General features: G+C 43.8%; 2 annotated features.

The window, feature by feature from the left end:
• Window positions 8,088-9,066: an enhancer, noted in NCBI's record as "NANOG-H3K27ac-H3K4me1 hESC enhancer chr18:48664283-48665261 (GRCh37/hg19 assembly coordinates)". NCBI's record gives its function as "activates a minimal SCP1, AML or CMV promoter by ChIP-STARR-seq in primed H9 embryonic stem cells {active_cell/tissue: H9 hESC(primed)}" and the evidence as "EXISTENCE:reporter gene assay evidence [ECO:0000049][PMID:30033119]".
• Window positions 9,067-10,046: an enhancer, noted in NCBI's record as "NANOG-H3K27ac-H3K4me1 hESC enhancer chr18:48663303-48664282 (GRCh37/hg19 assembly coordinates)". NCBI's record gives its function as "activates a minimal SCP1, AML or CMV promoter by ChIP-STARR-seq in primed H9 embryonic stem cells {active_cell/tissue: H9 hESC(primed)}" and the evidence as "EXISTENCE:reporter gene assay evidence [ECO:0000049][PMID:30033119]".

The following is a 12,741-nucleotide window of genomic DNA, read 5'->3' as shown; positions in this document are numbered from 1 at the left end:
CTGTAGTCCCAGCTACTCAGGAGGCAAAGGGGGATCACCTGAGCCCAGGAGGTTGAGGCTGCAGTGAGCCAAGATTGCACCACGGCATTCCAGCCTGAGTGACAGAGCCTGTCTCAAAAAAAAAAAAAAAAAAAATGAAAAAAGAAAAGTCCAGAATAAGAGAAACTCTACCAATGACCTGGTTTTTTAAAACAAATTATGAGAGAGACAGAAGAAGAGGAAAACTACAAATTAAGAGACATATAAAAACAGTTTTTAAAAAGTCAAAATTAAACTGTAGTGTTTAGGTATTTATACTTGGATGACAAAATCATGAAGACAAGAAGATAATTACCATAAAAGTCAGAATAGTAGATATTCGGGTGGGGTAAGATGATGGCTATGATTAGCAGAGGGCACTTGCTTGCAAGCTTCTATCTTCTTACATGAGTGGTGGTTGCAAAAATATTCACCTTATAAAAATTCATTAAGCAGTACATTGTTTTATGTGATTTTCTGAAGGTGTGTTATATTTAAAAATAAAAAGTTTTTTGAAAGTCAAAATCATAAAAACATGATTCACAAATTTGACCTGACATATATATAGAACACTGAACCCAACAACTACAGAACACATATTTGTTTTAAGGACACAGACAATTTACAAACATATATCAGGTTTGGGGCCATTAATTTGCAACAAATGCCAAAAAAAAATGAAGTCACAGAATATATTCTTTGACCACTGTAGAAATGAAATTTTAACCAATTAAAAGATCCTATAAAATCTCCATATGTTTGGAAATTCATAAACTTCTAAGTAACACTTAGATCAAAGACAGTATCAAAAAGTAACTTAGAACCAAATATTTATTTTCTTTCTTTTTTTTTTTTGACGTGGAGTTTCTCTCTTGTTGCCCAGGCTGGAGTGCAATGGCACGATCTCGGCTCACCGCAAGCTCTGCCTCCCAGGTTCAAGCAATTCTCCTGCCTCAGTCTCCCGAGTAGCTGGGATTATAGGCATGTGCCACCACGCCCAGATAATTTTGTATTTTTAGTAGAGACAGGGTTTCTCCATGTTGATCAGGCTGATCTCGAACTCCCGATCTCAGGTGATCCTCCTGTCTCAGCCTCCCAAAGTGCTGAGATTACAGGAGTGAGCCACCATGCCCGGCCAGAACCAAATATTTCTGAACCAAGTAATAATATGTAATATAAATCTCTAAACCTGTGGCATGCATCCAACACTATGCCTAGAGAGACATATATACCTTTAATTGCACAACTGAAAAGGAGAAATACTAAAAGTTGACGATCTAAGCATTCTTCTAAAAAAAACTTTTTTTTCAAAGAAGGCAAATTAACCCCCCAAAAAAGTAGAAGGTAAGAAATAGTAATGATAAAAACAAAACGAATAAAATACAAAACAAATAAAATAGAGAATTCAACAATGCTGAAAATTGGTTATTTGTTCAAAAAAACCAATCAATGGCCAGGCACAGTGGCTCACGCCTGTAATCCCAGTACTTTGGGAGGCCGAAGGGGGTGGATCACCTGAGGTTGGGAGTTTGAGTCCAGCCTGGCTAACATGGTGAAACCCCATCTCTACTAAAAATACAAAATTAGCTGGGTGTGGTGGCACGCACCTGTAATTCCAGCTACTCAGGAGGCTGAGGCAGGAGCATCACTTGAACCCAGGAGGTGGAGGCAGAGGTTGCAGTGAGCTGGGATCACGCCACTGCACTCCAGTCTGGGTGACAGAATGAGACTCCATTTCAAAAAAACAAGAAGAAGAAAGAAAGAAATCAATCAATAAGCTGCTGAGTAATTTAGAAAGGGTGAAATCCAAACAACCAACATGAGGAATGAAATAGAAGCCATCACTGCAGATACCACACATATTCAAAAGATAATAAGGGAGCTGGGCGTGGTGGCTCATGACTGTAATCCCAGCACTTTGGGAGGCCAAAGTGGGCGGATCACTTGAGGCCAGAAGTTCCAGACCAGCCTGGCCAACATGGTGAAACCTCATTTCTACTAAAAATACAAAAATTGGCCAGATGTGGTGGTGCACACCTGTAATCCCAGCTACTGGGGAGGCTGAGGCACAAGAATCACTTGAACCATGGAGGCAGAGATTGCAGTGAGCCAAGATCCTGCCACTGCACTCCAGCCTGAGTGACAGAGAGAGACTATCTCACAGAAAAAAGAAAAGACACTTTGGGAGGCCGAGGTAGGGGGATCACAAGGTCAAGAGATCGAGACCATCCTGGCCAACATGGTGAAACCCTGTCTCTATTAAAAATACAAAAATTAGCTGAGTGTGGTGGCTCGTGCCTGTAGTCCCAGCTAGGCAGGAGAATCGCTTGAACCTGGGAGGCGGAGGTTGCAGTGAGCCAAGATCATGCCACTGCACTCCAGCCTGGCAACAGAGCGAGACTCCATCTCAGAAAAAAAAAGAAAAAGAAAGAAAGAAAAGAAAAAAGATGATAAGGGGATATTATGACAACTTTGGGCATTACACTGGAAAATTGACAATGAACAACTTCTTAACAAAAATACCCCTTAATCAAAACTGACACAAGAATAGAAAATCTAAATAGTCCATATATATCAAGGAGATTAAATTTCTTATTAAATCCTTCCCCACAAAGAACACTTCACTTCCAGACAGCTTCAGTGGTAAGTTTTTACTTTTAGGGAAACCCTTTCACTACTGTTACACAACTTTTCCAGAGAATAGAAAAAGAGGAATAATTCCAAACTTATTTTTTATTTTTATCTATTTATTGAGATGGAATCTCGCTCTGTCTCCCAGGCTGGAATGCAGTGAGCAGCATGAGCTCTGCTCACTGCAACCTCTGCCTCCCGGGTTCAAGCGATTCTCGTGCCTCAGCCTCCTGAGTAGCTGGGATTACCAGCATTCGCCACCACGCCCAGCTAATTTTTGTACTTTTAGTAGAGATGGAGTTTTGCCAAGTTGGCCAGCCTGTTCTCGAACTCCTGACCTCAGGTGATCCTCCTACCTCAGCCTCCCAAAGTACTGGGATTATAGGCATGAGCCACTGTACGAAACTTATTTTTTTAAAACATAGCCTTGATACCAAACCTGACAGCAAAATTACAAAAAGGGAAAATGTTAAGTCCAGTGTCATTAATATCAATTTTTGAAATCCTTTAAAAAATTAGCAAACCAAATCCAATGATATATAATATAAAAAGGATAATGTATCATGGCTAAGTGGAGCTTATTTCCAGACTGCAAGAGTGACAGCTTTGGAAAATCAATCATTATAATCTACCACACTTTCATAATGAAAGTGAAAAATCATATTATCTCAATAAATGCAGAAAGGACCAGTATAGCAAGATTTTGAAATACAAGATCAGTATAAAAATCAGTTGCATCTCTAGGGTCCAGCAGTAGTTTGGAAATTAAATTTTAAAACAGCATCAAAAAAATTAAATACCTAGGAATAATTCTAACAAAAGATGTTCAAGATGCCTATGTTTAAAACTATAAAAACATTACTGAAAAAAAGATCTAACTAAATAAAGAATGATATCATGCTCAGAAATTGGAAGACTCAATATTGTAAAGATATAAATTCTTCCAAAACCAATCTACAGATTCAGTGCAAGTCCAATCAAAGTTCCCTTTTTGTGGTAACAGGCAAGGTGATTTTTTTTTTTTTTTTTTGAAATGGCGTCTCGCTCTTGTAGCCCAGGCTGGAGTGCAGTGGTGCGATCTCAGCTCACTGCAACCTCCACCTCCAAGGTTCAAGCGATTCTCCTGCCTCAGCCTCCCAAGTAGCTGGGATTACAGGCTCCTATCACCATGCCTGGCTAATTTTTGTATTTGTAGTACAGATGGGGTTTCACCATGTTGGCCAGGCTGGTCTCAAACTCCTGACCTCAGGCGATCTACCCACCGCTGCCTCCCAAAGTGCTGGGATTACAGGTGTGAGCCACCACACCAGGCCCAGATAAGGTGATTTTGCAATTCAAAAGGAGATCGGGTGCAGTGGCTCACGCCTGTAATCCCAACACTTTGGGAGGCTGAGGTGGGCTGATCACAAGGTCAGGAGATCAAGACCATACTGGCTAACATGGTGAAACCCCGTCTAATAAAAATACAAAAAATTAGCCAGGTGTGGTGGCACGTGCATGTAGCCTCAGCTACTCAGGAGCTGAGGCAGGAGAATCACTTGAACCCAGGAGGTGGAGGTTGCAGTGAGCCGAGATCGCGCCACTGCACTCCAGCCTGGGCAACAGAGTGAGACTCTGTCCCAAAAAACAAAAACAAAACAAAACAAAAAATTCATAAGGAACTGCAAAAGTTCAAGAGTAGCTAACATCATCTTGAAGAAGATCTCCTCTGTCAGGAAGCAAGATTCATTAGAAAGCTAAAATAAGACATTATACTGTTATACTGTATAACAAACATAGACAGACCAATTGATATGGTTTGGCTCCGTGTTCCCACCCAAATCTCACATCAAATTGTAATTCCCAATGTGGGGAGGGACCTGGTGGGAGGTGATTGGATCATGGGGGCAGATTTCCCCCTTGCTGTTCTTGTGATAGTAAGTGAGTTCTCACGAGATCTGGTTGTTGAAAAGTGTGTGGCATATCCCCCTTTGCTCTCTCTTTCCTGCTTTACTATGGTAAGATGTGCTTGCTTCCCCTTCACCTTCTGCCATGATTTTTTCTGAGGCCTCCCCAACCATGCTTCCTGTACAGCCTGTGGAGCTGAGTCAATTAAACTTCTTTTCTTTGTAAACTACTCAGTCTCGGGAAGTTTTTTATAGCAATGTGAGAACAGACTCATACACCAATGGGATAGAGATGGATCTATGGCACATGCACACTTATGGAAAAGGCAGTACTGCAGGACAGTGGGAAAAGGGTACTTATTTCTATTCAATAGCTCCATGGATATCCACATGAAAAAGGAAAAGAAATGTGACCCTACCACACAACATACACAAAAATCAATCTAGATGGTAGATCTAAAGATGAAAGGCAAAACAAGATTGCTTCCAGAAAATAATATAGGAAAATATCTTCATGCTGTCAGGGTAGGGAAACAAACAGAACACAAAAAGTACTGAACATAAAGGAAATGATTGCTAAGTTTGACTGCATTACATTTAGGAACTCCTGTTCATCAAAAGACACCACGAAGAGAATGAAAAGGCAAGCCGAGGAATTGGCGGTAATCGTTGCTGCACATACTAAAGGTCCCATCTCTAGGATGTAGAAAGCATTACCAAAAACTGACATCAAAAACCCAGTAGAAAAATAGACTAAAGTATTGAACATGTTTTCAGTTTTAGCACCAGAGGACAAACAGAAAAAAAAAATTAAATCGACAGGCACTTCAGAAAAGATTTCCAAATGGCCAATAAACATGAAAATGTGCTAAACCTCATTGGTAATCAGCAAAATGCAAATTACAACTACAATGAGACACTATTACTCACCCACCCAGCAGCTAAAATTAAGAAGTCTAACAAGAATTGCTGAGTGTTGATGAGGAAGAGGATCAATGGAAGCTTCCAAAGACTGTGGTGGGAGTATAAATTTATACAACCACTTTGGAAGACTGACATCATCTAGTAAAGTTAAATATGTACATACTCTATGACCAGAAATTCCTCTCTCAGATATTTTTCTCAATGGCAATGTGTAACACTATGAGACTTATACAAAAATGTTCATAATAGCCTCACTTGTAATATTAAAAAAAGAAAACTGTAAACAATGCAGCTGTCCAACAATGATAAAATAGTTAAATACATTATAATATATTCATACAATGGAATACTATATAGCACTGAAAACAATCTGTACTCACTGAAAATGAATGAACTATATGCAACAATATAGATTAATCTCCCAAGTTGCAGAAAAGTACTTAGAGTATATTTCCATTTATTGAAAATGTAAAAATGCAAAAATGCAAAATGAAACAAGCTCGTCCAGGCTGCAAACATATGTGGTAAAACTAAAAGAAAAGTAGACTGATCAATACAGAATTCAGGGACATGGTTACCTCTGAAGGCTAAGGGGCAGGGATGGCACTGGGGAGGGCTAACAGGGGACTTCAGAGGAAATAGTACTGTGTTCTATTTCTTTGCCCAGGTGGTGAGTATATGAGTGTCTATTGTATCATAACTCTTCATACCTTACTTACATTTTATTGATATTCTTTTATACATACTCAATATTTTATTTTGAAAATATTTTTTGAATAAGCTGTAAGCATTCACAAAAGGTGAAAATTGCCTATAATGACATTTTGGCCCTACCCCAGGATTAAACACTCTTCATGATCTGGCAGTTCTCCAAATTTTGTTCTCTGTGCTTGACTAACTCATATATGTGTGTGTGTGCGTGTCTGTGTGTGTATTGGGTAAACTATACATTCATTTTCGCACAGGCAAACAAATGAGCATTCCCCAGATTTGGAGAACTAATGATAAGCATGTCCCTATTAGGCACTTTTGGAAACAGAAACCCTACCCCAGAACCCTTGCTAGCTGTGCAGGGGAGAACGGGCATATTGGAAGATCAGGAGATTTATGGGGCAGTTCCTACTCGGGGACAAGATGCACATTTTTTTTTTTTTTAGTCTGCTTGCATTGTTCTTGTTTGTTTCATAATGTATTGAGTTGATTGAAAGGGCTCAGAGTCTGGTTGAGGAGATACGCATTTGTAAACAAACATCCAAGAATTCCTAGCAAATGAATGTACTCGTTCACCAATGAATCTTTTTTTTTTTTTTTTTTGAGACGGAGTCTTGCTCTGTCACCCAGGCTGGAGTGCAGTGGCACGATCTCAGCTCACTGCAGCTCCATCTCCCCGGGCTCATGCCATTCTCCTGCCTCAGTCTCCCGAGTAGCTGGGACTACAGGCACATGCCACCATGCCTGGATAATTTTTTGTATTTTTTAGTAGAGACGGGGTTTCACCGTGTTAGCCAGGATGGTCTCGATCTCCTGACCTCGTGATCCGCCCACCTCGGCCTCCCAAAGTGCTGGGATTATAGACGTATGCCACCACACCCGGCCTCACCAATGAATCTTAAAAGACAGCACAGGGCGGGTGCAATAGTTCATGCCTGTAATCCCAGCACTTCAGGAAGCCAAAGCAGGCAGATCACTTGAGGTCAGGAGTTCAAGACCAGCCTGACCAACATGGTGAAACCCAGTCTCTACTAAAGATACAAAAATTAGTTGGGCGTGGTGGCAGGTGCTTGTAATCCCAGACACTTGGGAGGCTGAAGCATGAGAATCACTTGAACCTGTGAGATATTGCACTTCAGCCTGGGTGACAGAGTAAGACTCTGTCTCAAAAAAAAAAAAAAAAAAAAAAGCACAGGCTTTAGGAGTGAAAGAGAGAGGTACCTGTGTGTCTTAGGGCTATAGTAGAATGACCTTGGGATTATAACAGAAAATCTGGATTTACCTCTTAGACCTGTGTGATCCTGGAAGAGTCAGATCCACCTTTCTTTTTTTTTTTTCTTTTTTTTTTTTTGAGATGGAGTCTCACTCTGTTGCCCAGGCTGGAGTGCAGTGGCGTGGTCTTGGCTCACTGCAACCTCCGCCTCCCAGGTTCAAGCAATTCCCCTGCCTCTGCCTCCATATAACTGGGATTACCGGTGTGCGCCACAACACCTGGCTAATTTTTGTATTTTTAGTAGAAATGGGGTTTCACCCATGTTTGCCAGGCTGGTCTCAAACTCCTGATCTCAAGTGACCACCCGCCTCGGCCTCCCAAAGTGCTGAGATTACAGATGTGAGCCACCGTGCCCAGCCCAGACTTATGCTTACTCAGGGGGAGTCCGGCTATAATGCAGCCCTCATTTTCCAAGGTGGGTGACCAGAAAGTATCTTGTTTACTCATCAGCAAGAAGGCCTGGGAGGAGCGGAGGGCAGGGGTCTGGGCACGACAAGAAAGGACAGAGGAACTGTGCTTGAGAGAAATCTACCCAAGAAATAGCCACTCACATCCTAAGAAACACAGGGTAGTTTCACTAAAACCTCATCAGTTTGGCATCTCTCTTCCCTTTCCATTTCTTCCTACTGGGTAGTCCAAACTAGAGTTTGTGCTTTGAGTCCTGGCTGAGCTGCCAAGCAATTTGCCTCCGGAAGCCTCTGCTTCCTCATCTCTGTAATGGGTCTGAATCGCCTATTGCCAAATTATGGACGGAGCAAAGCAAAATCAGGTAAGGAATAGCATTTTGTAAACTCGAAAGTGTTAGGCATTACTAGTTCCTTTTCTTCAGGGTAGCCTTTGCAGAACCACTGGAAAAAGAGTTTGCTAAGCAAATGAAGGGTGTCGCCACCTGGGCAGAGGGAAGGTTTTGCCTAGAAAACTATTCTCTGGCATTTCAAAATAAACATTTGACCGCCATCACAAATGATTCTTAAATCATTCTTCCAGGGCCGGGTGCAGTGGCTCACGCCTGTAATCCCAGCACTTTGGGAGGCCGAAGCGGGCAGACAGCTTGAGCCCAGGAGTCCGAGACCAGCCTGGACAACACGGTGAAATCCCCTCTCTACAAAAAAACACAAAAATTAGCTGGGTCTGGTGGCACGTGCCTGTAGTTCCAGCTACTCTGGAGGCTGAAGTGGGAGTTTGATCCCGGGAGGTTGAGGCTGCAGTGAGCCATGATTGAGCCACTGCACCCCAGCCTGGGCCACCAAGCAAGACCCTGTCTCAAAAAAAAAAAAATCATTCTTCCCCTAAGTCACCCAGGAACCCCTGCATGACAGGGCCTCATTTGACCACACCTGGATTGGAATGTCCCACACGTAGTTGGCTCTGAAGAAATGTAAGGCTGCAGGACTGCTCCAGGGCCTCAGCTGGGAACCCCGCCCATCCCTGCCTTGAATGGAACCTGTAATAAGCCTAGTTTCCTAAAGCTCCCGGGGAGGCAGGATCAGTGGTTGAGAGCCAGGCTTTTGTGGCTGCGTTGAGTACTAGTCACAACTCACCGGCTGTGTGCCCTTGGGCAAGTCACTTCATGGTAGCCTCTGCAAGCCTTCCGTTTCTCATCCATACAACAGGGACGGGGAAAGCCCCTCCTCACAGGGTTGCTGTGAGGATTACATGATTCCAAGCACTGAATAATGCCCAGCATTCAGGGAGTCTTCATAAAGTATTGGCTGTCACGCTCAGGGAAGAAAACCAAATCTAACTATGAAAAGCCAGTTTCCTCGGCGTAGCCTCATTGTGAGCTTTGGTGCCAGAGATGGACTCAACTGAATGGTGGCTTTTCTCCGTGAGCATCCTCTGGGCCTGAGAAAGGACAGCTAGAGGGGCCTTTGGCCTACGCCTCAGCGGACTCAGGTTTCGGCTGATACTCGGTGGCAAGTTCCTGAAGAAGAGCCAGTAAGGCTTGTCACAAAGGTCGATGGTAAGCGAGGCCACCCACCCACACCGCTGAAGCTGCCATGAGCTGTGACCCCAGCTGAGAGACCACAGGCGGACCAGCGAGGTTCCTGCGCATGCGCTATGCTGCTCACTTCCCGGCATTGAGGCGCTGCACCCAGCCTCCCCTCCTGGCGGGGACCCTCAGCCCCAGACACAGCCACTAGCCTAGGCATAATTCAGTGTTCCAGCTTACTTAGGAGAGCCCGGGAGTTCATTTCAAAATGTCAAATGATCCTTGGTGACTAATGGCCCCTGCTGTGCTGAATATCTTCACAGAGGCTGTCCTTCCGCACCCCCAGGGCTCTGCACTCCGGAAACATCTATCTTGGTGTCTGTGGCAAGGAGCTGCCATGTCGTCAGATCGCCCAAAAAAGCCAGGGAGCCACAGAACTGCCTAGATCCTGCTGGGGTGAGCACTGGGGAAGTCTTGGCCAGAAGGCATTCTCTAGGAATGGAGGATGGGAACACATAAATTCAACCACCCAGAAAAAATAAGCAGAACGCTGGACAAGTGGATCTCACAGGGTGTACTCAGAAAACAATTGGATTATTTTATCATTTCCCCCTATAGTTTGCCCATTGAAACCTGCTCTGTGAAGATAGCTCTGATCCCACACATGCGTGAATTTCCAGCAGGTTCTATACCTCTCCTGCTCACTCCCAATTTTAAAAAGTCCTGTAGCCACTGTTTAAAATTTTTCATTGTGGAAATTTTCACACATCACCAGAAAAAAGACAATGGTACGGTGGATTGCCGTGTAACCAATCACAGCCATGTTGTTGTTATATGAATTCCCACCTCACCCCAACACATTTTTTTTTCTGGAATTTTTTTTTTTTTTTAATTGAGATGGAGTCTTGCTCTGTCACCAGGCTGGAGTGCAGTGGCGTGATCTCGGCTCACTGCAACCTCTGCCTCCCGGGTTCAAACGATTCCCCTGCTTCAGCCTCCTGAGTAGCTGGGACTACAGGCGCGCACCACCATGCCTGGCTAATTTTTGGTATTTTAGTAGAGGCAGGGTTTTACCATGTTGGCCAGGATGGTCTTGATCTCCTGACCTCGTGATCCGCCCACCTCGGCCTCCCGAAGTGTCAGGATTACAGGCGTGAGCCACCACGCCCAGCCTCTGGAATGTTTTAAAGCAAACCCTCTGATTAATTTTAGAAACACAAACTGCCTTAGTTCAGTAATGAGTAAATCCACACCAGCAGAATGATCCAGGACTCTCAAAACTTCACTTTCAGCTAAAGCTTATGCTGCAGCCTGGGAGCCTGCCTTTCAGCAGGGGGCCTGGGTGGGTGTTGCCTGTGTTCCCCACCTCAAGTTTCTCTTCCTTGCCCTCACAGCTGCCTATGGCTACTTCAGGGTCAAGAGCAGTGGGATAGTGAAGAGGGGCGATGTTCCCACTGGCCCTGACCGGCTAGAGGCAGTGTCAGCTACGAGTCCCAGAGCGGGCTCTTACTCTGTGCTCCCTGGGTCTTGCCTACTCAGAGCTGGCACAGAGCTGACTGCTGGACTGGACAACAGTGCATGAGCTGAGTAAACTGAGCCCGGGATTAAGAGGGGAGTCTGATCGCTGATGGTGGAAACAGATACTGGAGTCCCTCCTTACCTGCAGGGGATATGTTCCAAGCCCCCTAGTGGATGCTTGAAACCACAGGTAGTATGGAACCCTACCATCCTATATAGGGTAGGGTTACTACCCTACTATCCTATAAGGTTTGTTTTTTCCTACACATACATACCTATGGTGAATGTTAATTTATAAATTAGCCACAGTAAGAGATTAACAATAACAATAATAAAATAGAACATTTATAACAATATGCCAATATCACTACTCTTGCACTTTTGGGAGCATTATTAAGGCAAAGAAGAGTTACTGGGACACAAACACTGTGATTCTGTGACAGTGGATCTGATAACTGAGGCGTCTCTAAGTGACTAACTTGGTGGGGAGTGTCGGCAGCATGGACATGCTGGAAAAGGGATGATTCACATCCCGGGCAGGACAGAGCAGGACAGCACAGTATTTCATCATGCTCATCACGCTACTCAGAACAGCCACGATTTAAAACTTACGAATTGTTTATTAGCAGAATTTCCATTTGGTGTTTTTGGACCGAGGCTGACCTCGGGTAACTGAAACTGTGCGTGGATAAGGGGGACTACTGTACTATCTGATTGCTGGGCTGGACAGCAGTGTGTGCCAGGTAAGCTGAGTATGCTGTGGTCGTCTTTCACTATGAAGTTTTTTTTTTTTTTTTTTTTTTTTTGAGACAGAGTCTCTCGCTTTATCACCCACGCTGGAGTGCAGTGGCACGATCTCGGCTCACTGCAACCTCTGCCTCCTGGGTTCAAGTGACTCTTATGCCTCAGCTCCCAAGTAGCTAGGACTACAGGCGTACGCCACCATGCCAGGCTAATTTTTGTATTTCTAGTAGAGATGGGGTCTCAAATTCCTGACCTCAAGTGATCCACCTTGGCTTCCCAAAGTGTTGGGATTACAGGTGTGAGCCACCACATGTGGCCGATGAAGACATTTTCTCAGTGGAAAGAAAAATGTGGCCGAGGGAAGGCAGGGAGAATATGAACTGCTTTACCTACTGGGGGAGATGCAGGATTCTCTTCCTGCTTAGGTAATCTAGCAACTCTCTTGGGAATGTGGCAGTTGCTGGCACTTCTTGCCTTGGAACTGCGCTTTCCGATTTGGTAGCCACTAGCCACAGGTGGCCATGGAGTGCCTGAAATGTGCTGTGAGTGTAAGACACAGACTGGAGTTCCAAAACTTGGGGTGAAAAAGTAATGTAAGATATCCCATTAATATGTTTATATTGATCACATATTGAACTGATATGTTTATATGTTGCATTAAATGAAATGCATTATTAACATTAACTTTACCTATTTATTTTTAATTTTTATTTTTTTAAAATTTTTAATATATTTTTGAGACAGGGTCTGTCTCTGTCACCCAGGCTGGCGTACAGTGGCGTGATCTAACTCACTGCCACCTCTGCCTGCCAGCCTCAAGCAATCCTCCCACCTCAGCCTCCTGAGTAGCTGGGACTACAGGCACCCACCACCACACCCAGCTAATTTTTAATTTTTTTAATGTGACTACTAGAGATTTAAAATTACCTCTGCAGTGCACTCTTAGAGACTCAGCTAAAACCATGAGTGAAGTTATTACCTTTAGAAAAACTCCTTCCCCACCCCCCAAACTTGGTCTTGGAGCCAGTGAAGGTTTGAGCTGGATGAGTGTCTAGTTGGACCCCTTCACATTACAGATGATAGAACTGAGGACTAGAGACGAA

The sequence above is a fragment of the Homo sapiens genome, chromosome 18 (genome assembly GCF_000001405.40).
Source record: "Homo sapiens chromosome 18, GRCh38.p14 Primary Assembly".
NCBI classification, from domain to species: domain Eukaryota; kingdom Metazoa; phylum Chordata; class Mammalia; order Primates; family Hominidae; genus Homo; species Homo sapiens.
This window is presented reverse-complemented; position numbering and strand designations above follow the sequence as displayed.